The 25702-nt window shown below is 45.5% G+C and overlaps 1 protein-coding gene across 3 annotated transcripts, besides 8 other annotated features; it reads left to right on the forward strand.

Moving 5' to 3' along the window:
* Window positions 524-1307: an enhancer, noted in NCBI's record as "H3K27ac hESC enhancer chr1:8020839-8021622 (GRCh37/hg19 assembly coordinates)". NCBI's record gives its function as "activates a minimal SCP1, AML or CMV promoter by ChIP-STARR-seq in primed H9 embryonic stem cells {active_cell/tissue: H9 hESC(primed)}" and the evidence as "EXISTENCE:reporter gene assay evidence [ECO:0000049][PMID:30033119]".
* Window positions 524-2091: a biological region, named in NCBI's record as "H3K27ac hESC enhancers GRCh37_chr1:8020839-8021622 and GRCh37_chr1:8021623-8022406".
* Window positions 1007-1106: an enhancer, noted in NCBI's record as "active region_94". NCBI's record gives its function as "activates an Ori minimal core promoter by ATAC-STARR-seq in GM12878 lymphoblastoid cells {active_cell/tissue: GM12878}" and the evidence as "EXISTENCE:reporter gene assay evidence [ECO:0000049][PMID:35858748]".
* Window positions 1257-1356: a silencer, noted in NCBI's record as "silent region_189". NCBI's record gives its function as "represses an Ori minimal core promoter by ATAC-STARR-seq in GM12878 lymphoblastoid cells {active_cell/tissue: GM12878}" and the evidence as "EXISTENCE:reporter gene assay evidence [ECO:0000049][PMID:35858748]".
* Window positions 1308-2091: an enhancer, noted in NCBI's record as "H3K27ac hESC enhancer chr1:8021623-8022406 (GRCh37/hg19 assembly coordinates)". NCBI's record gives its function as "activates a minimal SCP1, AML or CMV promoter by ChIP-STARR-seq in primed H9 embryonic stem cells {active_cell/tissue: H9 hESC(primed)}" and the evidence as "EXISTENCE:reporter gene assay evidence [ECO:0000049][PMID:30033119]".
* On the forward strand, window positions 1456-25250 carry PARK7 (Parkinsonism associated deglycase). Of its 3 annotated transcripts, none has more exons than XM_005263424.4 (7): window positions 1456-1826; window positions 2508-2620; window positions 5069-5170; window positions 9090-9149; window positions 10639-10708; window positions 17397-17483; window positions 24639-25250. In XM_005263424.4, the coding sequence occupies exons 2-7, from the start codon at window positions 2531-2533 to the stop codon at window positions 24797-24799; spliced, it is 570 nt and encodes a 189-aa protein (XP_005263481.1). In that variant the 5' UTR covers window positions 1456-1826; window positions 2508-2530; the 3' UTR covers window positions 24800-25250. The 3 variants fall into 3 exon arrangements, with proteins under 3 accessions (XP_005263481.1, NP_009193.2, NP_001116849.1); NM_007262.5 differs by having other exon boundaries at window positions 1456-1538; NM_001123377.2 differs by having other exon boundaries at window positions 1456-1480.
* Window positions 1487-1536: an enhancer, noted in NCBI's record as "active region_95". NCBI's record gives its function as "activates an Ori minimal core promoter by ATAC-STARR-seq in GM12878 lymphoblastoid cells {active_cell/tissue: GM12878}" and the evidence as "EXISTENCE:reporter gene assay evidence [ECO:0000049][PMID:35858748]".
* Window positions 1737-1786: an enhancer, noted in NCBI's record as "active region_96". NCBI's record gives its function as "activates an Ori minimal core promoter by ATAC-STARR-seq in GM12878 lymphoblastoid cells {active_cell/tissue: GM12878}" and the evidence as "EXISTENCE:reporter gene assay evidence [ECO:0000049][PMID:35858748]".
* Window positions 1837-1896: an enhancer, noted in NCBI's record as "active region_97". NCBI's record gives its function as "activates an Ori minimal core promoter by ATAC-STARR-seq in GM12878 lymphoblastoid cells {active_cell/tissue: GM12878}" and the evidence as "EXISTENCE:reporter gene assay evidence [ECO:0000049][PMID:35858748]".

Genomic DNA, 25702 nt, shown 5'->3' on the forward strand with positions numbered 1-25702 from the left:
ACATTGATGGAACTGGAGGTCATTATGTTAAGTGAAACAAGCCAGGCAAAGAAAGACAAGCATCACATGATTTCACTCATAAATGGGAAGTTGAAAAGTGGATATCATGAAGATAAGTTGGTGGTTACCAGAGGCCAGGAAGGGTAGCCAGGAGAAGGGGATGAACAGGGTGATTAATAGGTACAAAAATTGGTAGAAGTGCTGGGCAAGGTGTCAAGAGCCCCAGCATCAGAAAGTGGTCGACTTGCTGGTTGGTAAGAAGAATTTATCGACAACAATATAGGTTTGAAAAAGGAAAGTTTTATTAGAACGCTGCAGAAGAGTGCAGCCTCAGCAAGAGAGAACTGAGCATGCCGCGGTGGATTTTTCATGTCCCTTTTCGAATGTCTCATTTTTTGCAAATTCAATCCAAGTTGCGTTCATTTAGCCAGGATCCTTCTAAGCTCATTCAAGAATTTTGGGCTTTAACTATTTCCTTTGATTTAACCTGGTACCAGGTGCCAACTTTAGATAATAGGGATATCTAATTACTTCTAAATTCCTCAGATAAGGGGCCTGCTTGATGGTCACCAGGTGATCTGTGCTCTCCTTAAGAGGGAATAAGACCTAGCGTTGGCAGAGTTCTGTAGGGTGACTATAGTTAACAGTAATCTGTTGTATATTTTAAAATGTTATTATTGAAGAGAGTAACTGGAATGTTCCCAGTATAAAGACAAATGTTTAAGGTGATAGAGATCTCATTTACCCTGATTTAATCATTACACATTATATGAAAGTATCAAAATACCACATGTACCCAGAAAACACATACGTCTCTTACATATCAATAAATACAACTTGAGATTATGATGTAAATACATCTGACCAACTTGGTACTTATTAGACTTATGTGCGCAGCACTGCTCTAGTCCTGTGGGTGCAGCAGCATCAGGATCGTTAAAGAAAACAAACAATGCTGAGAAAAAAACTCACACCCCTGAGACATCCGGGTGTGAATAAATGCGGCAGAGTCGCCCGAGATCGGGAGACCAGGCGTGGGGGAGAGGTCCGGGAGGCCTGGACCAGAGTCCTAACAGACCAGAGGCGAAACGGGAAGGCGCGCCAGAAAAGGAACAACGCAAAGGGAGCAGGCGTGCACGGAGCGCGAACTAAGGAACCCCTCTGACAACCCCAGTCCCTCGGCAGTTCCAGAGACCGGCTCCTCACGGAGGGTGGCGGTAGAGACTGTTAAGCCCCGCGGGCGCCGGGGCAGGCCGGACTGTGCCATTCGTGGGGGGTACCATGTGGGACCGAGCCGCCTCACCCAGGGCTGTCCAGCTAGAAACTCCCCGGTGCCACCCCCGCCTCAGTCCGAGGTAGACTCGGCCGGACGTGACGCAGCGTGAGGCCAAGGCGGCGTGAGTCTGCGCAGTGTGGGGCTGAGGGAGGCCGGACGGCGCGCGTGCGTGCTGGCGTGCGTTCATTTTCAGCCTGGTGTGGGGTGAGTGGTACCCAACGGGCCGGGGCGCCGCGTCCGCAGGAAGAGGCGCGGGGTGCAGGTCAGCGCCAGCGGGGGCGCGGCGCATGTGTGGGCCGTGGCGCTGGGCGGCGTGGGGGTGCTGGACGGTGTCCCTGTGCTGGACGGTGTCCCGCTGGCTCAGAACCGGCGCGGGGCCTGGGTCGGGGCCGCCCTCGCTTCCGGCCTCCCAGTCGGGCCCTGTCGCTGGCGTTGGATTTGACTGACCGCCAGCGTGGTGGCAACGCTGAAGCGTCCAGAATCTTCTGCCTAACCTCTCGCCGGCATGGAACTGGCTAGCCGTTTTATTAAACTCTGTTTTGCGTGGACGGTAAACCCTCCAGATAATCTGTAAATAGGCTAAAAAAAATTCGGAACCTCGTTGAGCTGCTGTCGTTGGCAGTGAGAACTCCGCGCAGAGAGACAGATGTAGTTGGGTTGACTTCAGTGAGGGGATTTCCATCTTTCTCAGTCATTAAAAAAAGTGTTCAGACATTTAACACTGTTGACCCCCACACACAATTTTTTAGTACAGTTATAACTAAGAAAACAAAAATCCCCTCCAAAAAATTACAAGTTAATTGCGAAAGACCACATTTAAATTTTTGCCCATGAAATTCAGTTTAGTCGTTTCTCTGAAACAGTGCTTCAAAAAAGACTGTTTCCCCGCATTGTGTGAAATGCAGGAGACCCACGTACTTGTATTTTTAAAAAACCCATTTGCAACATACTATTAAAGTTGGATTTAAGAGAACATGGTAGAAGAAAATCTAAGCAATACTACACCTTTTAGCACCCTCATTATGTTTTCATCTCAGAGCAATTAAAACTGCTATACAAATCAACGTTAAGATAACTAAACTGCTGCTTTTTTCGTATTCAGTTGTCTATGAAAACCGTTTCCCTAGGAAGTACTTACTCTGCTTGAAAATGCTCCTAAACTTTAAATTTTGGGGTATCTCAGGGTTGCAATGAAAGTTTTTTGAAATCTTTTTTTTTTTTTTTTTTTAAGGCTTGTAAACATATAACATAAAAATGGCTTCCAAAAGAGCTCTGGTCATCCTGGCTAAAGGAGCAGAGGAAATGGAGACGGTCATCCCTGTAGATGTCATGAGGCGAGCTGGGGTAAGTCCCACATCGATTTTTAGCCATTCCTGTTTTAAATGTTTTTGGATTTTTAAATCATTTTGAATAAAATATTCAAAGTGCTCTATGAAATATTTCAAATATACACAAAATTTCAGAGATGACATAAGAATAAATACCTGTTGATCCACTGCTCACATTTAACGCTTGTTAATGTCTTGCCATATTTCCTTCAGACCCATTTCTCTTTTGTTTTGAGCTCTGTCGTCCAGGCTGGAGTGCGATGGCAGGATCTTGGCTCATTTCGGTCTCTGCCTCCTGGGCCCAAACCATCTTCCCACCTCAGCCTCCCAAATAGCTGAGACTACAGATGCGTGCCACCACACCTGGCTAATTTTTGTATGTTTTGTAGAGACAGGGTTTTGCCATGTTGCCCAGGCTGCTCTCCAACTCCTGAGCTCAAGTTGTCCACCCGCCTCAGGCCTCCCAAAGTGTTAGGACTACAGGCGTGAGCCACTGCACTGTCCTTAGACCCATTTCTTTTTTCTTCTTTTTTTTTTTTTTTGAGATGGTGTCTCTCTGTGTCGCTCAGCCTGGAACGCAGTGGTGTGATCTCTGCTCGCTGCAACCTCTGCCTCCCGGGTTCAAGAGATTCTCCTGCCTCACCCTCAGCTGGGATTACAGGTGTCCGCCACCACGCCCGGCTAATTGTATTTTTAGTACAGATGGGGTTTCACCATGTTGGCCAGGTTGGTCTCGAACTCCTGGCTTCAAGTGACCCGCCCGCCTTAGCCTTTTACAGTGCTGGGATTACAGGCAGGAGCCACCATGCCCGGCCCCTCAGACTCGTTTCTTAAAGAGCAGATGCTTCAAAGAAATACATTTGAAGCCCCCTTTGTAAATTTCTCCAATCCTATGCCCCTTCTTCCTTCCTTAAAGATAAGTGCTATCCTCGCACTCTTGTGTATCCATGCATGTGTGTCTTTTTTTTTTTTTTTAAGACAGAGTCTTGCTCTGTCACCCAGGCTGGAGTGCAGTGGTGTGACCTCAGCTCACTGCAACTTCTGCCTCCTGGGTTCAAGCAGTTCTCTGCCTCAGCCTCCCAAGTAGCTGGGATTACAGGTGCGCACCACCATGCCTGGCTAATTTTTTGTATTTTTAGTAGATGGGGTTTCACCATCTTGGCCAGGCTGGTCTTGAACTCTTGACCTCGTGATCCACCCACCTCGGCCTCCCAAAGTGCTGTGATTACAGATGTGAGCTACTGCACCCGCCCCCACGCATGTCTTTAAGGTAGCATTTGACCGTGGTTCTCATTTTGCGTGTTTATATATTATCTCTCTCTATCTAAAAATAGTGAACAGTGAAGTGAAGTAGAACTAACTCTGTGCCAGGCAGCATTCTAAGTGCCGATAAACCTTACAACAATGTCGTGAGTTAGATATCACCATCCTCATTTTACAGTTGAAGAAACTGAGGCACAGAGACATAAATAATGTACCCACATCACGTAGTAAGTACAAAAGCCAGAACTCAGACCCAGGCAGCCTGGCCCCAGAGTCTGTTAACCCTATACTCCTCTGGTTCTCAGAAATGAAGATACATGTCGATTAAGTTTATCCACTTAAAATTGCTGCTTGGTGTTGCACTGAATGCCACAATCTACCCATTCCTCTAATTACAGCATTACAATTCTGTAATACGTATTCTTGTGTAGGTTTCTTTGTGCAAATGTGAGGAAATTTTTCCAGGTTATATATCTAAAAGTAGAATGACTAGGCCGAAGGATAGCCTGTAGTCAGCATGACTAGGTTTTGCCAAGTTGCTCTCCAGTGTCCCAGTTTGTAGTCCCACCAGCAGTGTAGGAAAATTCCCACTTTCCCAGTGCCAGCTCTTGGTATTGTTGACTTTAAAAATTTTTGAAAGATAAAGCAGTATTTCGTTGTTTGGACTTGCATTTCTATTTTACAAAAATACCATGAGGTTTAAATGGCAACAGTAAACTTGCAAGATGAGTTATTAATAGGATGATCATATAACTGGTCACCCAAACCAGAACATTTGTGGGAGAAAGGGTGTTCCAGTCCCACAGAGTACAGGGCAGCAGCTATAAGTAGGGTCTGTCCCGGGCAAACCAGGGTAGACCTAGTTATTAAATATATTTAGCCAGTGTATTAGCTTAAATTTGGTATAGTTGTGGTGCAGTATTTCCTGTCATGTTACTTTCAAACACAGGGCAGCTGTGTAAACGTTACTCTAGCTGGGTGTGGTGGCTCATGTCTGTAATCCCAGCTACTTGGGAGGCTGAAGCAGGAGGATCATTTGAGCCCAGGAGCTGGAGGCTGCAGTAAGCTATGATTGTGTCACTGCCCTCTAGCCCAGGTGACAGGGTGAGACCCCATCTCTCTTTTTTCTTTTTTTTTAAAGACAGTGTTACTCTGAATTTATGTTTCAGTGTTCTTAAATATGATAACATCTTTCTCGTAGATTAAGGTCACCGTTGCAGGCCTGGCTGGAAAAGACCCAGTACAGTGTAGCCGTGATGTGGTCATTTGTCCTGATGCCAGCCTTGAAGATGCAAAAAAAGAGGTTTGTAATCCATACATGGAGTTATTCCTTCATATGGCTTCTTTGTTTCTTGAAATGTCTTAAGAGTGTTGTTAGCACAGACTCATTTTAGAAAATTATTTTGCTTGAATGTCTTCCCCTGACAGATTAAGAGGGTGAGGACTTTGTCTTTCTATTCTGTATCTGTAGAATGTGGCAATTGCTTGATACAGAATGTGCTTAGTAAGTGGGTGGCTGGATGGGTAGGTGGCCGGTTGGATGTGTGGCCAGATGGGTGGGTTGGTGCTTAGATGGATGGCTGCATTGTTTTCCCATCAGTATTTTTCTGGCTTACACAGGCATCCTTGCCTCCTATTACACATTTTTACCTGACATAAATCAACTGCCACATTTTCCATTTTTTATTATTATTATTTTTGTTTAGAGGAATGGTCCCACTCTCTCCCCTAGGCTGGAGTCCAGTGGTGCAGTCACAGCTCACTGCAGCCTCAACCTCCCAGGTTCAAGCAATCCTCCCACCTCAACCCCCCACGTAGCTCGGACTACAGGCATGTGCCATGCCCGGCCATTATTTTTTCTAAAGATACTTTCAGAGTTCCACTGTAGTTGTGTTGTTTTTTCAGTATCGTTGGAATTATGGCTCTTACCTTTAAGGACGATGGACACTTTTGGAAGCTAGCATCCCTTTCCTCAGAAACATGCTCCCCCACAGGCGCTTTTGCACACTCCGTCGTGCGGTCAGCGTGACAGGAGTGTGGACTGTACCCTCTGACAGCAGGGTCATGGCAGGAAAGGAGGCAGAGTCGGCTCACAGATGGCTGGTTGCACACTGCTGAGGAACCTGGAGTGCGGTTCCCTGGGCCGAGCTGTCCTCAGATACATAGGAAAAAGTTTAATCCTTTCTAATAAGTTTAGATTTTTCATTACTGGATTGTAGAAAATTAGACTGTTGGTATTTACATGTGATTTGTTGAAACAAATTAAAAATGACAAGCAGAAGTAAGTATTCCAGGCCAAGTGCAGTGGCTCACCTGTAATCCCAGCACTTTTGGAGGCCAAAGTGGGAGGATCACTTGGGACCAGGAGTTTGAGACCAGCCTGGGCAACATAGCGAGACCGTTTCTCTTTAAATTAAAAATTTGTAAAAGCCAGGTGTGGTGGTGCATGCCTGTAGTTCTAGCTACTTAAGAGGCTGAGGCAAGAGGATCACTTGAGCCTAGACGGTTGCTTGAGCCCAGGAATTTGAGACAGCAGTGAACTGTGATTGTGCCATTGCCCTTCAGCCTGGGTGACAGAGCGAGACCCTGTCTCAAAAATAATAATAATACTTTTTTTCATCTCTGTTTGTGTTTTTGTCATATGATGTCTGGGCATTTTAAAACAGTGGTTACCTTTATTTTCAATCGACAGATAATAAGTGTACATATTCATGGGATTTGTGATGTTTCCATGCATAATATATAGTGATCGGATCAGAGTAATTAGCATATCCATCATCTCAAACATTTCTTTGTGTTGGGAACGTTCAATATCCTCCTTGCTATTTGAAACTATATATGATTGTTAACTATAGTCATTCTACGGGGGTATAGAACACCAGAACCTATTCCTCCTATCTAGCTATAATTTTGTATCTTTTAACAAATCTCTCCCTATCCCCACTTTCTCCTATCCTCCCCAGCCTCTAGTATCCTCTGTCCTACATTATGCTTCTATGTGATCAATTTTTTTTTAGCTTTCACATATGAGTGAGAACATGGAGTGTTTAATTTGCTATTCCTGGCTTCTTTCACTTAATATAATGTTCTCTAGTTCCATTCTTGTAGCCACAAATGACAAGATTTCATTCTTTTTTATGGCTGGATAGTATCCCATTGTGTATAAATGCCACATTTTCTTTATGCATTCATCTGTTGTTGGACCTAGGTTGATTTCGTATGTTGGCTAGTGTGACTGTTGGTGTAGTAAACAAGGGAGTGCAGGTGTCTCTTCAGTATACTGATTTCCTTTCCATTGGATACATGCCAAGTAGTGGGATTGCTGGACCATATGGTAGTTCCATTTACTGTAGTTTTTTAAGGAAGTGGTTACCTTTTGTGTGTTTTTATTTTTCAGTGCAGATTCTAAAAGGAGTAAAATAAATTCTATACTTTACACATTTTCTTTTGAGTTTTGAGCTTTGCTTGGTTTTGAATCAACGGTAGGATGTTTATGGTCTTAAAAGTGATTCTAAGCCAGCCATAGTGGTTCACACCTGAAATCCTAGCACTTTGTGAGGCTGAGGCAGGAGGATTACCTGAGCCCAGGAGTTTTGAGACTAGCCTGGGCAATGAAGCGAGACCCTGTCTCTACAAAAATAAAAAAAATTAGCTGGCTGTGGTGGTGCATGCCTGTAGTCCTAGCTCCTGCAGAGGCTGAAGTGGGAGAGTTGCTTGAGCCCAGGAGTTCAAGGCTGTAGTGAGCCACGATTGCATCACTGCACTCTAGCCTGGGTGACAGAGGTGAGGGCTTCTCTCTAAAAAAATTTTATAGGTTGCACTAAATACATAATACATTTTTATTTTGTAATTTGTTTAATGACTAGATTTTTTTTAACCACTTTTTAAAGTACTAAAGTATTGTTGGCCGGCCACAGTGGTTCACGCCTGTAATCCCAGCACTTTGGGAGGCCGAGATGGGTGTATCACGAGGTCAGGAGTTTGAGACCAGCCTGGTCAAGAGGGTGAAACCCCATCTTTACTAAAAATACACAGATTAGCCGGGCACAGTGGTGGGTACCTGTAATCCCAGTTGCTTGGGAGGCTGAGGCAGGAGAATCGCTTGAATCCGGGAGACGGAAGTTGCAGTGAGCTGAGATCACTGCACTCTAACCTGGGTGACAGAGCAAGACTCTGTCTCAAAAAAAAAAAAAAAAGAAAAGAAAAATAAATAAATAAATAAAAAGTCCTAAAGTATTGTTAAAACAATTTCCGTTTTGTAATTTCAGGAAGTTTGAAATTAATTTGATTTCTAGGATTTTTTGGGGGGGATACTAAAATTCTCCCCCCGTTACATTTTTCATAAAGTTAAGAAAAATTTTTTGTGCCTTTTACTTAAAATTTGTTTCTCTATTAATTTTATTTGTTTTTTTAGACAGAGTCTTGCTCTGTTGCCCAGGCTAGAGTGCGGTGGTGCAGCCTCAGCTCACTGCAGCCTCTGCCTCCTAGGTTCAAGCGATTCTCCTGCCTCAACCCCCCAAGTAGATGGGACCACAGGTGTGCACCACCACACCCAGCTAATTTTCATATTTTTAGTAGAAATGGGGGTTTTGCCATGTTGGCCAGGCTGGTCTCGAACTCCTGAGCTCAGGTAATCTTCCTGCCTTGGCCTCCCAAAGTGCTGGGATTACAGACATGAGCCAGTGTGCCCAGCCTGTTTTTCTATTAATTTTTTAAGTTGTTCATGTACATTCTTGTTGAACAATAATTCAAACAATATAGACACATATAAAGTCAAAATGTTAAATGTCCTGTTCTCATTCTCCCTCTGCCCCATCCCACACTACTCCCATTAGCAACTAGAGTGTCTTCCTTTGTCTGTGACTACCTGTATACAGAATATGTGGGGTGGGGTGCTTGTGGTGATTGTACACATACACGCATACATCTACACACAAATACATATATCCTTGTCTTTTACAGGAAGGAGATTATACTACCCCTGCTACTCTGCAGCGTGGACATCCTTGCATGTCACTACATACAGGTTTTCTGCATTTTTTGCTAGTTAAAACACCATTCCGTCATGTGGATACACCTTAATTTATTTAACTGTTCTATTGGCAGATAGGCTATCTCCTGTACTTCCCACATTTAAAATAGGAAAGTATTATTGGACTGTCAATTTAATGCACAGTTGAAATGAAATGTTTTTGTTTTCTTTATGTTTTAAACTGTTACAGGGACCATATGATGTGGTGGTTCTACCAGGAGGTAATCTGGGCGCACAGAATTTATCTGAGGTAAAAAATTCTACTCAATTATACCTCAATAAAGCTGGGGGGGGGGAAAAACTAAAGAATTTCAGCATCTGCTTATGTTCTGTTAATTTTGTTATTATTCAAATATTTCGGGAGGAGGCTGTGAAAAAAAAATAGAAACAACTAAAATTAACAAAATGGTGTTATAGCATTAACTCAAACTTTTTTTTTTTTTTGAGACAGAGTCTTGCTCTGTGGCCCAGGCTGGAGTGCAGTGGCACAATCTCGGCTCACTGCAATCTCCGCCTCCTGGGTTCAAGCAGTTCTCCTGCCTCAGCCTCTGAGTAGCTGGGATTGCAGGCATGCACCCCCATGCCCTGCTAATTTTTATATTTTTATTAGAGACGGGGTTTCACCATGTTGGCCAGTCTGGTCTCAAACTCCTGACCTCGTGATCCGCCCACCTCGGCCTCCCAAAGTGCTGGAATTATAGGCGTGAGCCACCACTCCCGACCTCAAGAAAACATTTTTAATATTTTCTATGGAGGTCAGGTGCAGTGGCTCAACGTCTATAATCCCAGTGGTTTGGGAGGCTGAGACAGGAGGATTGCTTGAGGCCAGGAGTTTGAGACCAGCCTAAGTAACACATCGAGACGCCATCTCTACAAAAAATTTTCTTTTAATTAGCTGGGCACGGTGGTGCACACTTGTAGTCCCAGCTACTCGGGAGGCTATGGTGGGAGGATGACTTGAGGCCAGGGATTTGAGGCTGCAGTGAGCTGTGAATGCACCACTGCATTCTAGCCTGGGCAACAAAGCAAGAACCTGTCTTATCAGAAAAAAAAAATGTTGCCATGGAAGTAAGCTGAATTGGTGGGACCGTTATGAACAGATGTCGATGAATACAGTCCAAAGTAAGATGATTTGGTTTTTTTCCACCAGCAGAAGAATGATCAGATTTTGTGTTTTGAGAAGGGCAAATTGTCTACTCAAAGTCTTAACTGGGGGAAGCTGTGGGGCTAGGGCTGCCAGCAGGAATGGCAAATGCCATCAGCAGAGACCATTGTTCCTCATTTTAAGTCGTATGTGAGGAGTCAGAGGCCAGGGTGAGGGGCACACCTGCAGGCAGAGTTGGGGCTGCCAGAAGTAAGAAGTGGGTTGTGTCAGACACAAGGGATCTTTTCCTGCTAGATTCTGTTCCTCTCTCTGCCATCTGAAAACACCCAAAACACCACATTCCCTCCCATTTCTTTCTCCCTGGAGTACAAAATGGCAAGGGTCAAATTGCTTCTTCTGATCTTTAAATGTGGAAGAGTGCGTTTCTCTTATGAGAAATGCCTTGCTTGGGTTTAAGAATATAATATAGACACATTTTGATCATTTTTATACCAATGATTTAGAAATATTGTTGGAAAATAGGTCAGAGAGCTTGTGGTTTAAACTAAAATTAAATTCTTCCAAAGTTTCCTAGTGAGTGATTGGTTAGTGGCTTAATGATAACTTTATGTATTTTTGGTTTTCTTTTCACTAGTCTGCTGCTGTGAAGGAGATACTGAAGGAGCAGGAAAACCGGAAGGGCCTGATAGCCGCCATCTGTGCAGGTGACGTGCAGGGGCAGCCTGTGTTGCAGCGTCATTGGTGGGTGGGGTAGCCTTTCATTCGATGGTTTGATTCCAAATAGCTCTTCCCCTTCATAAAGCATGCAGGGCATCTGTGTTGGTGTATTTAGTTTGGGTGGCATGAAGTTGGTGTCATTTCAGAGATGAGGACAATTGTTCTGTTTTCTGCCTCTCCATGCCTTTGGTCTACATGCTGTGAAACTTAGTGTTTTCCGTGTTTGGTTGACCTCGGAGGAAAATAAGGCCCTCTGGAATTCAGTAAACAGCTTGTTACAGCAAGTCTCTGTGCCAGAAAGTCTTTGTGCCAGCACACAATCAGCAAAATCCATCAAACATCAACACAGCAGCTCTGTCCTGTGCTTGCCCTGCAAATTCAGAAGCCCCCATGGTGCTTTCCGCTGGCTTCTCGGGCGTTTCTGATTGTCTCAGTACCGAGTGATCTTGGGCACCGCATTATCTGCCACATAATTTAGAACAAGGACATTTGGTGCTTCGCAGATGTCCTCTTCTCTTTGTACCTTAGTAATATTTTATTTTCTCATAACCATTTTAAGATCCATTCTTGTTGCTTTCCTATCAGATGATGTTCTGCCATTTTGGTTTTTTCCCATGCTGTAATTTTTGCCAGCACCTTCCTTGTTGTATAGGTCTTCATTAAATATTTGTCAGGGCCGGGCGCAGTGGCTCACGCCTGTAATCCCAGCACTTTGGGAGGCTGAGGCGGGCAGATCACCTGAGGTCAGGAGTTCAAGACCAGCCTGGCCACCATGGTGAAACCCCATCTCTACTAAAAATACAGAAATTAGCCAGGCGTGGTGGCGGGCGCCTGTAATCCCAGCTACTCGGGAGGCTGAGGCAGGAGAATCGCTTGAACCCGGGAGGCGGAGGTTGCAGTGAGCCGAGATTGTGCCGTTGCACTCCAGCCTGGGGGACACGAGCGAGACTTCGTCTCAAAAAAAAAATAAAATAAAATAAAATAAATATTTGTCAGAAGAGTGAATGAATAAACGAATGAATGAGTGGATGGTTTGGTAAACATCAACATCAAAACATGTTGCTGTTGCTATTTTGTTCAATACAGTAGGCTTTTCAAAAGAAGTTATGGGCCAGAGGTCCTGGGGACTTGATACATTCGAGTATCAGTGGTTCTCAATGTTCTTTTGGTGCACTTGCAAGGTCAAAGCAGATGCTACTGAGGGGCCAGGTGTGGTGGCTCATGCCTGTAATCTCAGCATTTTGGGAGGCCAAGGCAGAAGGATCTCTTGAAAGCCAGGAGTTTGAGACTAACCTTGGCAACATAGCCAGACCCCCATCTCAACAAACAAACAAACAAAAAATTAGCCAAGCACAGTACTGCATGCATGTAGTCCCAGCTACTCAGGAGGCTGAGATGGGAGGATCGCTTGAAGGCAAGAGTTAGAGGCTGCAGTGAGCTATGATTGCACTCCAGCCTGGGCAGCAGAGTGACACCATGTCTTTCAAACAAAATGTTATTCGCCTTTTTTCTTCTCAGTCTTTCAGGAGTGACATCAGAGTAGGATGATACCATCATCTGAGAATTTATTATTGTGTTTTAAAAATTTCCCAGTTTTATTAGGTTGATGTAAAAGTAATTGTGGTTTTTGCCATTAAAAGTAATTGGCGTGGCACAGTGGCGCATGCCTGTAATCTCAGCACTTTGGGAAGCTGAGGTGGGCAGATCGTTTGAGGTCAGGAGTTCAAAACCAGCCTGGCAAACGTGGTGAAATCCCGTTTCTACTAAAAATACAAAAGTTAGCTGGGCATGGTGGTGCACGCCTGTAATCCCAGCTACTCGGGAGGCTGAGGTGGGAGGATCACTTGAGGTCAGGAGTTCGAAACCAGCCTGGCTAACATGGTGAAACCCCGTCTCTACTAAAAATACAAAAGTTAGCTGGGCAGTTAGCTGGGTATGGTGATGCATTCCTGTAATCCCAGCTATCAGGAGGCTGAGGCAGGAGAATCTATTGAACCCGGGCGGCGGAGGTTGCAGTGAGCCGCGATTACGCCACTGCACTCCAGCCTGGGTGACACAGCAAGACTGTCTCAAAAAAAAGTAATAATTTTTAATATGGCAGATGTTCATAGATATAACCCACATAAAAGCTAAAGGGATTCTAAGACCTAAATGTTTGAGAACCGTGGCATTAGGGGCTGGGAAGAACCACAGAGGTTGACCACCCTGGCAGGTCTTGTACGTGGGCTTACTACAAGAGTCACCACTAGCCTTTTGACCTGCCCTGAGGCTCAGGTAATTATCTCTGCCAAAGGGCACTGCAGTCACTGCAGCCCAAGCAGCTGCTCCCCTCTTTGGAGAGAAAGTCACAGATCCTTGAGTTTGGTTTTCTTTGGCTCTGCTGCTGTGAAGCAAGCCTCAGTCCTAGATTCTTTGACCAAAGGAAGAAAGAGTTTGGGCTGAGTTTGTTTCCTTATGATTCTGCTGAAAGTAAAAACCACATGTCAGTTTGTCCTGTGCCACAAAAGTAGCAAAATCACTTAAGGTCAGGAGTTCGAAACCAGCCTGGCCACCATGGTGAAACCCCATCTCTACTAAAAATACAGAAATTAGCCAGGCGTGGTGGCGCGTGCCTGTAATCCCAGCTGCTTGGGAGGCTGAGGCAGGAGAATCGCTTGAACCTGGGAAGTGGAGGTTGCAGTGAGCCAAGATTGCGCCATTGCACTCCAGCCTGGGCAACAAGAGTGAAACTCCGTCTCAAAAAATAAATAAAATAAAATAATAAAAATAAAAATAACAAAAATTAGCAGGGCATGGTGGCGCATGCCTGTCGTCCTAGCTACTTGGGAGGCTGAGGCAGGAGAATCGCTTGAACCCGGGAGGCGGAGATTGCAGTGAGCCGAGATCGTGCCACTGCACTCCAGCCTGAGCGACAGAGCAAGACTTCGTTTCAAAAAAAAAAAAAAAAAATCAACCACATTTGGCTTACTGTTTTGTGCTGAGGCTAGATGGAATGCCATGCTAAGAAGCATGGGCCTTATAGTACTTTAAATCAACATTAAAAAATAAACAGGCTGGCTGTGGTGGCTCATAGCTGTAATCCTAGCACTTTGGGAGACTGAGGTGGGAGGATCACTTGAACCCAGGAGTTCAAGACCAGCCTGGGCAACATAGTGAGACCCCCCCACCGACCTCTACAAAAAAATATTTTAAAAAATCAGCCTGGTGTGGTGGTGCACACTTGTAGTCCCAGCTACTCAGGAGGCTGAGGTGGGAGGATCACTTTGAGCCCAGGAATTTGAGGTTACATTGAGATGTGGTGATCACACCACTGCACTTGAGCCTAAAGGACAGAGCAAGACTTGGTCTCTTAAAAAAAAAAAGTAAAAATAGGCCAAGGGCGGTGGCTCACACCTGTAATCCCAGCACTTTGGGAGGCCGAGGCGTGCGGATCACAAGGTCAGGAGATCGAGACCATCCTGGCTAACACGGTGAAACCCTGTCTCTCCTAAAAATACAAAAAATTAGCCAGGCGTGGTGGCGGGTGCCTGTAGTCCCAGCTACTCGGGAGGCTGAGGCAGGAGAATGGTGTGAACCTGGGGGGCAGAGCTTGCAGTGAGCCGAGATTGCGCCACTGCTCTCCAGCCTGGGCGACAGAGTGAGACTCCATCTCAAAAAAAAAAAAATTATATAAAAAACAGTAAAAATAGAAAACACACTAGCAGTGTGTTTATACCATTGAATATCCTGCACCACTGTTGTGGGCACTACACCAGAAATAGGAAAAAATGTGATGATGAGCTGAGCTAATTGAGATGAGGGTTATGGGAATGGAACAGAGGAGTGATGGAAGAGATTTGGATCTTTTAAATTGGCAAACAGAAAAATAAGATTCTTTTTTTTTTTTTTTTTTGTTGAAATGGGAGCTTTGCTCTTGTTGCCCAAGCTGGAGTGCAGTGGTGCAATTTCGGCTCACTGCAACCTCCACCTCCCAGGTTCAAGCGATTCTCCTGCCTCAGGCTCCCGAGTAGCTAGAATTACAGGCACCTGCCACCATGCCCAGCTAATTTTTGTATTTTTGGTAGAGACGGGGTTTCACCATGTTAGCCAGGCTGGTCTCGAACTCCTGATCTCGTGATCCGCCCACCTTGGCCTCCCAAAGTGCTAGGATTACAGGCGTGAGCCACCGCACCCAGCCAAGATTATTCTGAAGTGTTGCAGTTAGGGATTGGAAACATTTTGAACACAAAGAATATTAGCCTAGTCCTTAATATTGAGTGAATGAGGAACGCAAATTGGAAGGGAGTCTATGTTGAGAAGAAAATTAAATGATATTTACTTTGAGTAGGGGAGGGGGAGGAAGTGTGGAGTTGGAGGAGTGGACAGTTGTCAGCTGAGATGCCCAGGTCTAGGAATGAGGCCTCTGGAAGCAAGGTCTTGGCCACCTGGAGGAGCTGGGGAGTTGGCAGAGGTGGTCATTTTGCATGTTACCACAGGGTGGTGCTGTTGGCTGCAGAAGGGGACATGGTCAGCTGCGCCCTCTGCACTGTAGTGCAGAGTACAGAGCGTTTTCATCCATCAGAATCCCAGGTCCTGGGAGAGTGAAACGTCTCTTCTCCAGTATTCCAAATAGGGTTCTGACGCCCCAGAAAGCAGTGATTATGAGCTTACCTGATAAGTATGAAAGACATCAGTAAATTCCTGAATCCAACTGTAACATAAATTTATTCACATCGTAGCAGTGATTTTATTACCACCTTGAAGGGAGCAGCCTAAAAATTCTCGTTCACCGATCACTTTCCTCACTGTGCTATCATCTATTAAAGTTTACTTTAAAATGCAAGATGATGTAGGAATTTCTTCTTAAATTCTTACCAAATAAAAATTAAAAACAATTTATAAATCCATTCAAATAAAAATTGATAATTATTCAATTCTTACGGACTTCTAAAATTTGCTACCATACATAGCTGTCTTGTGTGTAAAAATAACGTGGAGAAGAGACATTTGAGGCTTTTGATTTAAGAGCTATAAATCAGGACTTGGTCTGAAACTGACAGCTGATATTAGGCAGAAAGCTTATGTAATTAGGTAGTATTTGTGTGATCTTCCTGTTTGTAACAGCTACGGTCTGAGTAGCTTGTGGGTATATTATATAATTCCTTCCTTGGAGTCTTGTTGAAAAATGAAAGGACAGTAAGACCAAGACCTCTCAGGTTTGCTGACACTAAAAGTGTACAAACTGTGCCACAGGATCTTAGCCATCCAGGGCACCTTAAGTGTTTCCAAGATCAAGGTGCTGTTCTGAAACGTATCCTTCTAAGTGTCATGTGAGGCCTTAGAAAGAATGTTTATATGTGTGGCTTAGAGGAAAAAGGTAGAATGAATACTTTGTAAAAAGCTTTAAGATGAAATAACAATGAAAGGTATATAAAATCTTTGTTTTTAATCCTTATTTAGGACCATTACATACGCAATATGCTTGTGACCCTCCCTGAAGTTGGCCGTTTTCAGTGAATACATTTAAATAAAAATCTCAAGTTAGGACCTGCCAATTTGGAAAGACTTCATCAACTGACACTTCCATGTGGTTCTTTGCTTAAGTAGCTTTCATCACGTGATGCTAGTGCCTTTATATCTCACACTTCCAGGCACTTCACAGGCTATCTCCTTCAAGGACAGTGTGCTGTCCATTTTAATCCTACCACCTGGCATACTTGGGTGGATAGGTGGATGAACGAGTGTTAATTTCCCATTTTATTTATTTATTTTTTATTTATTTTGAGACAGAGTCTCGCTCTGTCGCCCAGGCTGGAGTGCAGTGGCACGATCTTGGCTCACTGAAAGCTCTGCCTCCCGGGTTCACCCCATTCTCCTGCCTCAGCCTCCCGAGTAGCTGGGACTACAGGCGCCCGCCACCACGCACAGCTAATTTTTTGTATTTTTAGTAGAGACAGGGTTCCAGCGTGTTAGCCAGGATGGTCTTGATCTCCTGACCTCATGATCCAGCCGCCTTGGCCTCCCAAAGTGCTGGGAATACAGGCATGAGCCACCGTGCCCGGCCTAATTTCCCATTTTCAAGTAGAAAATAAGATTACAAAAGAGCAATAAAATCCAGAAGTTCAGAGAGTACCAGTTGCCTTTAGCATGTAACTAAATCTTTCCTTTTACTAAGAGTGAGGTAAGAAGTTGAGCCCGCCCCAGTGATCCTCCCCCTCCTTTGGACTCCTGGTATATGTGGTCCCTGTTCTGGGGATGGGGAAGGTGAGAGAGGTGAGCACATTTTGTTTATCTGTGTATGCTCTGCTGGTATCAAGGTAAATCTTCTTGAGTAAATGGTTATTGAAGTATTTTGAGTTTCTGTGCTTTTGCCAGATGTGCTCAGCAAATCGTTTGTTATAAACATACTTTATCTCTCATACTAGGAAGTGTTTCATTTCAGAATCGTAGCTGTATGTTTGGTAAGAGCCTCTTGATTTTGAAGAATACTTTGCTGTTGCAGTTTTTGTTGTTGTTAGAGAAGGGGTCTGTGTTGCCCAGGCTGATGTTGAATTCCTGGGCTCAAGCAATTTTTCTACCTAGGCCTCCCCAATTGCTGGGATTACAGGCATGAGCCACTGTGCCAGGCACTATTGCGATTTTTTAAACATGGGCTTTTCTATATCTGCACTTAGATCTTTTTATTTTTATTCTTAGGTCCTACTGCTCTGTTGGCTCATGAAATAGGTTTTGGAAGTAAAGTTACAACACACCCTCTTGCTAAAGACAAAATGATGAATGGAGGTAAGTATATGCTTGTTTTTGTTTGTTTGTTTGTTTTTTGAGATGGAGTCTCGCTCCATCGCCCAGGCTGGAGTGCAGTGGCGTGATCTTGGCTTACTGCAATCCCTGCCTCCCGGGTTCAAGCGATTCTTCTCTCTCAGCCTCCTGAGTAGCTGGGATTACAGGCGCATGCCATCACACCCAGCTAATTTTTGTATTTTTAGTAGAGATGGAGTTTCACCATGTTGGTCAGGCTGGTCTCAAACTCTTTTTTTTTTTTTTTTTTTTTTTTTTTTTGAGACAGAGTCTCGCTCTGTTGCCCAGGCTGGAGTGCCATGGTGCGTTCTCTGCTCACTGCAACTTCCGCCTCCCGGGTTCAAGTGATTCTTCTGCCTCAGCCTCCTGAGTAGCTGGGATCACAGGTGTGCTCCACCACGCCTGGCTAATTTTTGTATTTTTTAGTAGAGATGGGGTTTCTCCATGTTGGTCATGCTGGTCTTGAACTTCTGACCTTGTGATCCACCCGCCTCAGCCTCTGAAAGTGCTGGGATTACAGGCATGAGCCACCGCGCCCAGTCTCGAACTCTTGACCTTGTGATCTGCCTGCCTCAGCCTCCCAGAGTGCTGGGATTACAGGTGTTAGCCACCGCGCCTGGCCCATATGCCTGTGTGTGGTTTTTTTTTTTTTTTTGAGATGGAGTCTCTCGCTCTGTTGCCCAGGCTGGAATGCAGTGGTGTGATCTCAGCTCACTGCAACCTCCGCCTCCCGGGTTCAAGGGACTCTCCTGTCTCAGCCTCCCGAGTAGCTGGGATTACAGGCATGTGCCACCACAAGTTTCTTGTAGACTGGGCACAGTGGCTTCCGCCTGTAATCCCAGTACTTTGGGAGGCTGAGGCGGGTGGATCGCTTGAGCCCCGAGTTCGAGACCAGCCTGGGCAACATGGTTAAACTCCATCTCTACTAAAAATACAAAAAACATTAGCCAGGCATGGTGATGCACACTGGTAGTTGCAGCTGCTCAGGAGGCTGAGGTGGGATGATCGCTTTAAGCCTGGGAGGTCAAAGCTATGGTGAGCTGTGATCTCGCCACTGAACTCCAGCCTGGAGGACAAAGCAAGACCCTATCAAAAAAAAAAAAAAAAAAAAGTTTCTTGTGTACCTGTAGAATTTTATCTATCACATACTCATTATCCTTTTTATTTTAACTAAAATGAGATCTACTAAATGTATTGTTCTGCAGCTTGCTTTTTTTAACTTAATGTTAATATCTTATGTTATCTTTTAACAGCACATGTAGATTTAGATTTGCTTCATCCTTGTTAAGTACAGCTGCTAGTCCAGTGTTGGAATGTGCCATGCTGTATGTAACCTTCTCCTGGGGGTGGGCATGAAGGTGGTTTTCTGCTTTTGCCCTTGTAAACCATGCCATAATGATCATCCTTGAATGCCGCTGTGAGCATATCTGAGCTCCACTTTAAAAGTGATGCACTTTTCATTATACTGCATGTTTTTTAATTACTAAACTTTAGTTTTTTAGAGCAGTTTTAGGTTCACAGCCAAATTCCCGTCTACCTTGACCCACTCGCCACTCCCCAGGCCCCCGCCCCTGGCCATGCATAGCCTCCCCTACTATCAACATCCTGCACCAGAATCTGTACCCACATTGACACATCATCATCCAGAGTCCACAGTTTACATGAGGGTTCTCTCTTGCTGTTGTACATTCTACATACAGTTACATTTGATCCAGAGCAGTGTTTTCCTGAAAATCCATGGTTTGTTTATTTATTTAATGTATTTGAGACAGAGGCTTGCTCTGTCACCCAGGCAGGAGTGCAGTGGTGTGATCTCAGTTCATTGTAACCTCCACCTCTTGGGATCAGGCAATCCTCTCACCTCAGCCTCCCGAGTAGCTGGAACTATGGGTATGAGCCACCACACTTGGCTAATTTTTAAATTTTTTTGTAGAGACAGGGTCTAACCATATTGCACAGTCTGGTCTTGAACTCCTGGCCTCAAGCGATCCTTCTGGCTTGGCCTCCCAAAGTACTAGGATTACAGATGTGAGCCACTGTGCCCCGCTCATGGTTTTATTTTAGTTGCTAGAAAGATACTATGTTATCATTAAAACGATCTGTTTGAAAATTGGTACTTTTTGCTGGATGCAGTGACTCACGCCTGTAATCCCAGCACTTGGGGAGGCCGGTGGGGGAGGTAGATCACGAGGTCAGGAGATCGAGACCATCCTGGCTAACACGGTGAAACCCCGTCTCTACTAAATGTACTAAAAAAATTAGCTGGGCGTGGTGGCGGGCACCTGTAGTCCCAGCTACTCAGGAGGCTGAGGCAGGAGAGTGGCGTGAACCCAAGAGGTGGAGCTTGCAGTGAGCTGAGATCGTGCCACTGCACTCCAGCCTGGGCAACAGAGTGAGACTCCATCTCAAAAAAAAAAAAAAAAATTGGTACTTTTTAATAAAAGTCTCTGGTTTCTGGGCATTTTAAATGTAGGAATTTAATTTACTTTAAGCTCATGGAGGGATTTTAGAGCGTTGAAAGAAATGGAAAGAACAGAACTGGGCTCCCTTTGTGATGTCTTCAGAGGGAAGACAAGCGGAGCGCGCTCCTGCACTACCTGAAGGTGTGCCTGTTGCATCTGTTTTCCTTTAGTGCCTCAAAAACATTGAGGTTGGTCAGGCATAGAAAAAGATCAGATTGTTGATGCTCACACTTGGAGTTTACAAAGCACGTTCCCGTACGTTATCTTGGTGGAGCTTCCTGGTCCCCAGTGCCCAGCAAGGCAGGTGGCATCATCCTGGCTTCACAAACAAGGAGAGACTGAGGCCAGAGCTCAAGCCCAGCCCTCTGCCTTGCATCCAGTTTTGGCTTCCTGCCCCTCCCCTGCTCTGTGGTAGCAAAAGGCTCCCACACATTTAAGTTACCAGGTGTTGGATTTAGTCAGTAACCTCTATTATAAGAAATGGATACTTGAAATGTCTACTCCTTCAGGACACTTCGAGAGGTAGGGCTGCAGTCATCACCTGGGGGTCTGCTCTGGGTGAGGCCCTTGTCCTCACTGTGAACTTGAAAGATCAGTGTGACAGTTTCTTCTCAGATAAGCAATCCCATCTGAAGACCATAGTCTTTTTTCTTTTTTTCTTATCTTTTTTTTGATAGATTCAGGGTCTCACTATGTTGCCCAAGCAGTACTTAAACTCCTGGGCTCAAATGACCCTCCCACCTTGGTCTCCCAAAGTGCTGGAATTACAGGTGTGTGCTACCAGCTCCAGTCCCCATAATCTTTTAATTCCTCCGATTTTAGAATAAGTCAGTTATAACTGTAATGTGTGATTCCGTTTCTCATTTGTCCACTGTTTGATGGCATCCGCATGCCTGGTCCCATACCCGAGCACTGAAGAGCAGGGTCTCTGGAGCCTGGCATCGTGGGGTGGCCCTCAGCTTCCCCACTCACTGTGGGAAGTTTCCTTAGTGTCTCTGAGCCTGTTTCCTCATCCGTTGCCTGAGGATAAACCTGCTTCAGGATTGTTGGTGAAAAGACTTCCCTCACCTAGCTTCTGTAACGCCACTGCATGCCACCACTGCTGAGTACTGTTTGTTTGCTAGGTTGGTGTCATTCTCATTTTACCAGAAAGTGAAGCTCTGAGAGGTCAGACAGCCACTAAATGGCAGACCTGGGATTTGAACCCAGAACTCTGCTCAGGGGTCAACTGACTGCTCCCCAAAGGCCAGGTGGTAAATATTGCAGGCTTTCTGGGACTTCAGATCTCTGGCAGCTACTCAACTGTTGCACCTCCACAATAGCTACAGACAGTACTAAACACGCAGGGTGGCTTTGTGCCAGTGAAGCTGCATTTGCAAAAACAGGCAGCAACCTGGCCTCGGCCCTCAGGCTTGTCGTTGCTGACCTGTGTCCTGTGTCTTTTGTTTTTTTTTTTTTTTTGAGACAGAGTCTCTCTCTGTCATCCAGGCTGGAGTACAGTGGCACGATCTGTGCTCACGGCAAGCTCCGCCTCCCAGGTTCACGCCATTCTCCTGCCTCAGCCTCCCAAGTAGCTGGGACTACAGGTGCCCGCCACCACGCCTGGCTTATTTTTTGTATTTTTAGTAGAGACGGGGTTTCATCGTGTTAGCCAGGATGGTCTCGATCTCCTGACCTTGTGATCTGCCCTCCTCGGCTTCCCCATGTGCTGGGATTACAGGCGTGAGCCACTATGCCCAGCCCCCCCGCCTTTTTTTTTTTTTTTTTTTTTTTTTTTTGAGACGGAGTCTTGCTCTCTCACCCAGGCTGAAGTGCAGTGACGCATCTCGGCTCACTGCAACCTCCGCCTCCCGGGTTCAAGTGATTCTCCTGTCTCAGCCTCCTGAATAGCTGGGATTACAGGTACTGGCCGCCAGGCCCAGCTAATTTTTGTATTTTTTTTTTTTTTTTTAGTAGAGGCGGGGTTTCACCATGTTGGTCAGGCTGGTCTTGAAATCCTGACCTCAGGTGATCCACCTGCCTTGGCGTCCCAGAGTGTTGGAATTACCGGCATGAGCCACTGCATCCGGCTTCCCATTGCTTTTTCTCTGAAGAGACTTTAAGACTTGGAGTCTGGTTTAAAAAAAATAAAGAAATAAAAATCAATGCCTTCTGCTGGTTGAACGGGAAGTGTAAAATCTGAATTCGCTATAGGGTCACAATCCCAGCCTCCAGTTCGCACAGTGCCTTCCTGGTGCTGATGGGGTGCATGTTCTGTCTTCGCCACTAGGTGGAGGCAGTTGGTAACCTTAAACCTTTTGCTTCTCGTGGTTAAAAGTCTGACAAGAACCGTAGAACCTTTAAGCATATTTAACCAGTTTAAGCCCTGTTTGCGATGTTTTAGCCACAAAGATACTGTTCAGTGAACCATTTACAGTTGTGCCTCGCGTTGTCCCACTCTCAGCTGTGCATCTCACTGTCGCTCTGGAAGACCTAGCCCAGCCAGTTTCTAGGTTAGCATTTGAAATGGTCTTGGCCTGGTTTAACCATCAGTAAATGAGGCCAGATTATGATAAACCTTTTCCCCTCAAACTAGGGATCCTCTTTTTCTCTACAATAGTTAAATTGGAAATTGTTTATGTACTCTATTCATTTATTTTGGTGGGTGACCTGATTTTTTAAATTTTTTAGATTAGTCAAGCACAGTAGTGAGAAGAGGAGAAAGAGTAGAACAAGGTGTAACTGCCTGTGAACGATCAATTGAGATAACTCACTGCCTTCGACCAGCAGTGGCTTGGTTTCTAATGACAGTAAGACAAGTTCCTATAGCCATTGTTAATCTCCTTGGAAAAGAAATGAACACTGTGTGGTTTCAGAAGCTCATTAATATAGCAGAAGCACTCTGCTTCTGTTTGAAGGGAGGTTTTCAGATGAATTTTTCTGCGTGTTCATTGAACAGACGTTTCCTAAGCTCCTCCTTAGTGCCTGGCACTGGGAACAGAAGAAGGAAGAAGAGAAAGCTGTGCCCTCAGGGTGTTCTCAGGTCCGCACTGAGCGGTGGTGACCAGAGCCACCCGCCTGCCTGCGTGGCCGGTGCATCAGGATAGAGCAGGAGTTCACAGAGGAGCTTTGTCACTTCCCCCTCCGCTAAATCTGTTCTGTGGCCCCACATCACTGAGTGGTGTCACCATCATCCAGTCACCTGGGACAGGCAGCTGGGAGTCATCCTTGAAGCCTCCTCACCTAGGCCTTCATTGCAAACCTCCATTTCCTCTGGATCACTGTCACCAGCCTAGTGCAGGCACCACCAGCTTCTACCCAGAGAGCAGGTTCCTTTCCATCTCCTTCTGGTCCCAGCCCAGTCTCTGTGCGAAGGCCAGACCGCAGAGGGCTCCAGGCCCCGTGACATGGAGTTCAGCGTGACCTTCAGGTGCTGGAGAGAGTTGGCAAGGGCTTTCCATGGGGAACTGGCTATGCCCTGCTTTGCACTCTGGACAGTTAGCTTTTGGGTGCTGGGCATGGATCGAAGGGGCGCACAGCCGGAAGGGAGAGCTGTAATCATGCAGAGATCCTTCCCCTTTAAAGCAGGGGACAGGCGAGAAAGGAGATCGAGTCAAGAATGGTGTTTGGTGCCTTTGACCTCACACTTCAGGGGTGCCTCCTGTGTGCCATGGATATCATTGGCCAGACAGGGACTGATGAAGACCCAGCCTTTTTAAAGAGTAAACAATAAACAAGGAAATGAAATGTTCATAGATTGTGATAGATTGTATCAATGCTGCGAGGGCAGTAAATAGAATGCGGTGATAGAGTCAATAGAGGTACCTAATTTGGGGAGGTGGGGGTGGTCACAGATACCCTCTCTGAGGGGTTTTTGTTGATGCTGAAACTGAAGGAGCAAGGAACTGGAAAGAGCTGGTCTCTGGGTGGAGGGAGCAGCCCTTGAGCTCTTCCTGGAGCAGGAGAGAACGTGTTGTATACAGTAAGGGAAGCTCCAGGTGGGAGAGTGATAGGGATGGGTGTGGGGAGGGAGGTTAGGCTCTGTGTGCAGTGGAGAGGCTGGTGACTACCTGCTGTGGAGGGGCAGAGCTCAGGGCATCCATGCTTAAGAGTCCCAGTTTTGGTATTATATTTGCCAAGAAATAGCCAACCGGCGGGCCTGGAGGTGCGGGGATGCGGAAGGAAAGTAGTCCTTGAGAGGGAATGTGGTTTCTACCTGCACACGCACACTCACATGCATACCCGCCTCCATTACGTTGTGCTGTGGTTGTTTTTGAGGCATCAGAGGGTGTGCGTGCCGCCACATGTTGATTGGGGTGGCTTCTGCGTTCAGCGCTGCCGCATCCCTTCACCCTTCCCCGGCACTTCAGAATTGACACTTGAGCTTTGTTGTAAATAGTGATGTGAGTAACTGTCATTCACCGACATCTCCCCCAACACTTAAAGTCTTAGCAGCTGCATTTAACTCACGCATATTTGTTTCATTCTAACAGTGGTTTCTGTCACCCTTTGCTCTGCACAGTTTTAAAAATACCTTTGTAGGGGGCTTCTAAGAGCTTGGAGTGCCTAGTAAATGTTTTTGAATGGTTAGCTACAGTGTTGGGTTTATATGCTGTAATAGTGAATTTAATTGGTAAGTAATCGTCTTTCTCGTCACATAGCCCATTAGGATGTCACCTTTTCTGTTTCTACTTTGCAGGTCATTACACCTACTCTGAGAATCGTGTGGAAAAAGACGGCCTGATTCTTACAAGCCGGGGGCCTGGGACCAGCTTCGAGTTTGCGCTTGCAATTGTTGAAGCCCTGAATGGCAAGGAGGTGGCGGCTCAAGTGAAGGCTCCACTTGTTCTTAAAGACTAGAGCAGCGAACTGCGACGATCACTTAGAGAAACAGGCCGTTAGGAATCCATTCTCACTGTGTTCGCTCTAAACAAAACAGTGGTAGGTTAATGTGTTCAGAAGTCGCTGTCCTTACTACTTTTGCGGAAGTATGGAAGTCACAACTACACAGAGATTTCTCAGCCTACAAATTGTGTCTATACATTTCTAAGCCTTGTTTGCAGAATAAACAGGGCATTTAGCAAACTACTGATTGTTTCTTGTTTTGTCTCTCATTTCTTTTGTGAAATTAAATTCCGTATCACCTTCATTTGCAGCTCTTAACTGTCCATATGGCACTGAAATAAAAGAACAGTGACCACATTTTACACAGCAAGGAGGAAAGGCATACAAACAGAATTTAAGAGGCTTGTGATTTTCTCTGCTTATTAGCTGTGTGTTTTTAATGTGCTATTAAAAAATACCAATGAGGGCTGGGTGTGGTGGCTCATGCCTGTAATCCCAGCACTTTAGGAAACCGAGCCAGGAGGATTGCTTGAGGCCAGGAGTTCAAGACCAGCCTGGGCAACATAGCAAGTCTCCATCTCTACAAAAAAATACAAAAACTAGCCAGGCATGGTGGCATGCACCTGTAGTCCCAGCTACTTAGGAGCCTGAGGTGAGAGGATCACTTGAGCCCCAGGGGGTCAAGGCTACAATGAGCTGTGATCACACCACCGCACCCCAGCCTGGGTGTCACAGCGAGACCCTGTCTCCAAAAAAAAAAAAAAGAAAAAAAGTTGGCTGTACTGGTGAATTTTTATACACCAGTTCCTTTTTCCATTATGGAAAGAGTACTTGGATAAAAACTTTTCAAGGTTGGCCCAACATCTCTTTTCCCTTCCCCAGGTAATAGCACCCAGCATTCCTTGTGAACCACCCAGT

Source organism: Homo sapiens, chromosome 1, assembly GCF_000001405.40.
Source record: "Homo sapiens chromosome 1, GRCh38.p14 Primary Assembly".
Classification (NCBI taxonomy): domain Eukaryota; kingdom Metazoa; phylum Chordata; class Mammalia; order Primates; family Hominidae; genus Homo; species Homo sapiens.

Bases quoted from the DNA above. Each gene is read 5' to 3' on its own strand.
- PARK7 (XM_005263424.4), top strand. From the start codon at position 2,531: ATGGCTTCCAAAAGAGCTCTGGTCATCCTGGCTAAAGGAGCAGAGGAA. The intron at 10,709-17,396 runs GTGACGTGCAGG...TTTTATTCTTAG, and splicing joins GATAGCCGCCATCTGTGCAG to GTCCTACTGCTCTGTTGGCT. The intron at 17,484-24,638 runs GTAAGTATATGC...TCTACTTTGCAG, and splicing joins AGACAAAATGATGAATGGAG to GTCATTACACCTACTCTGAG.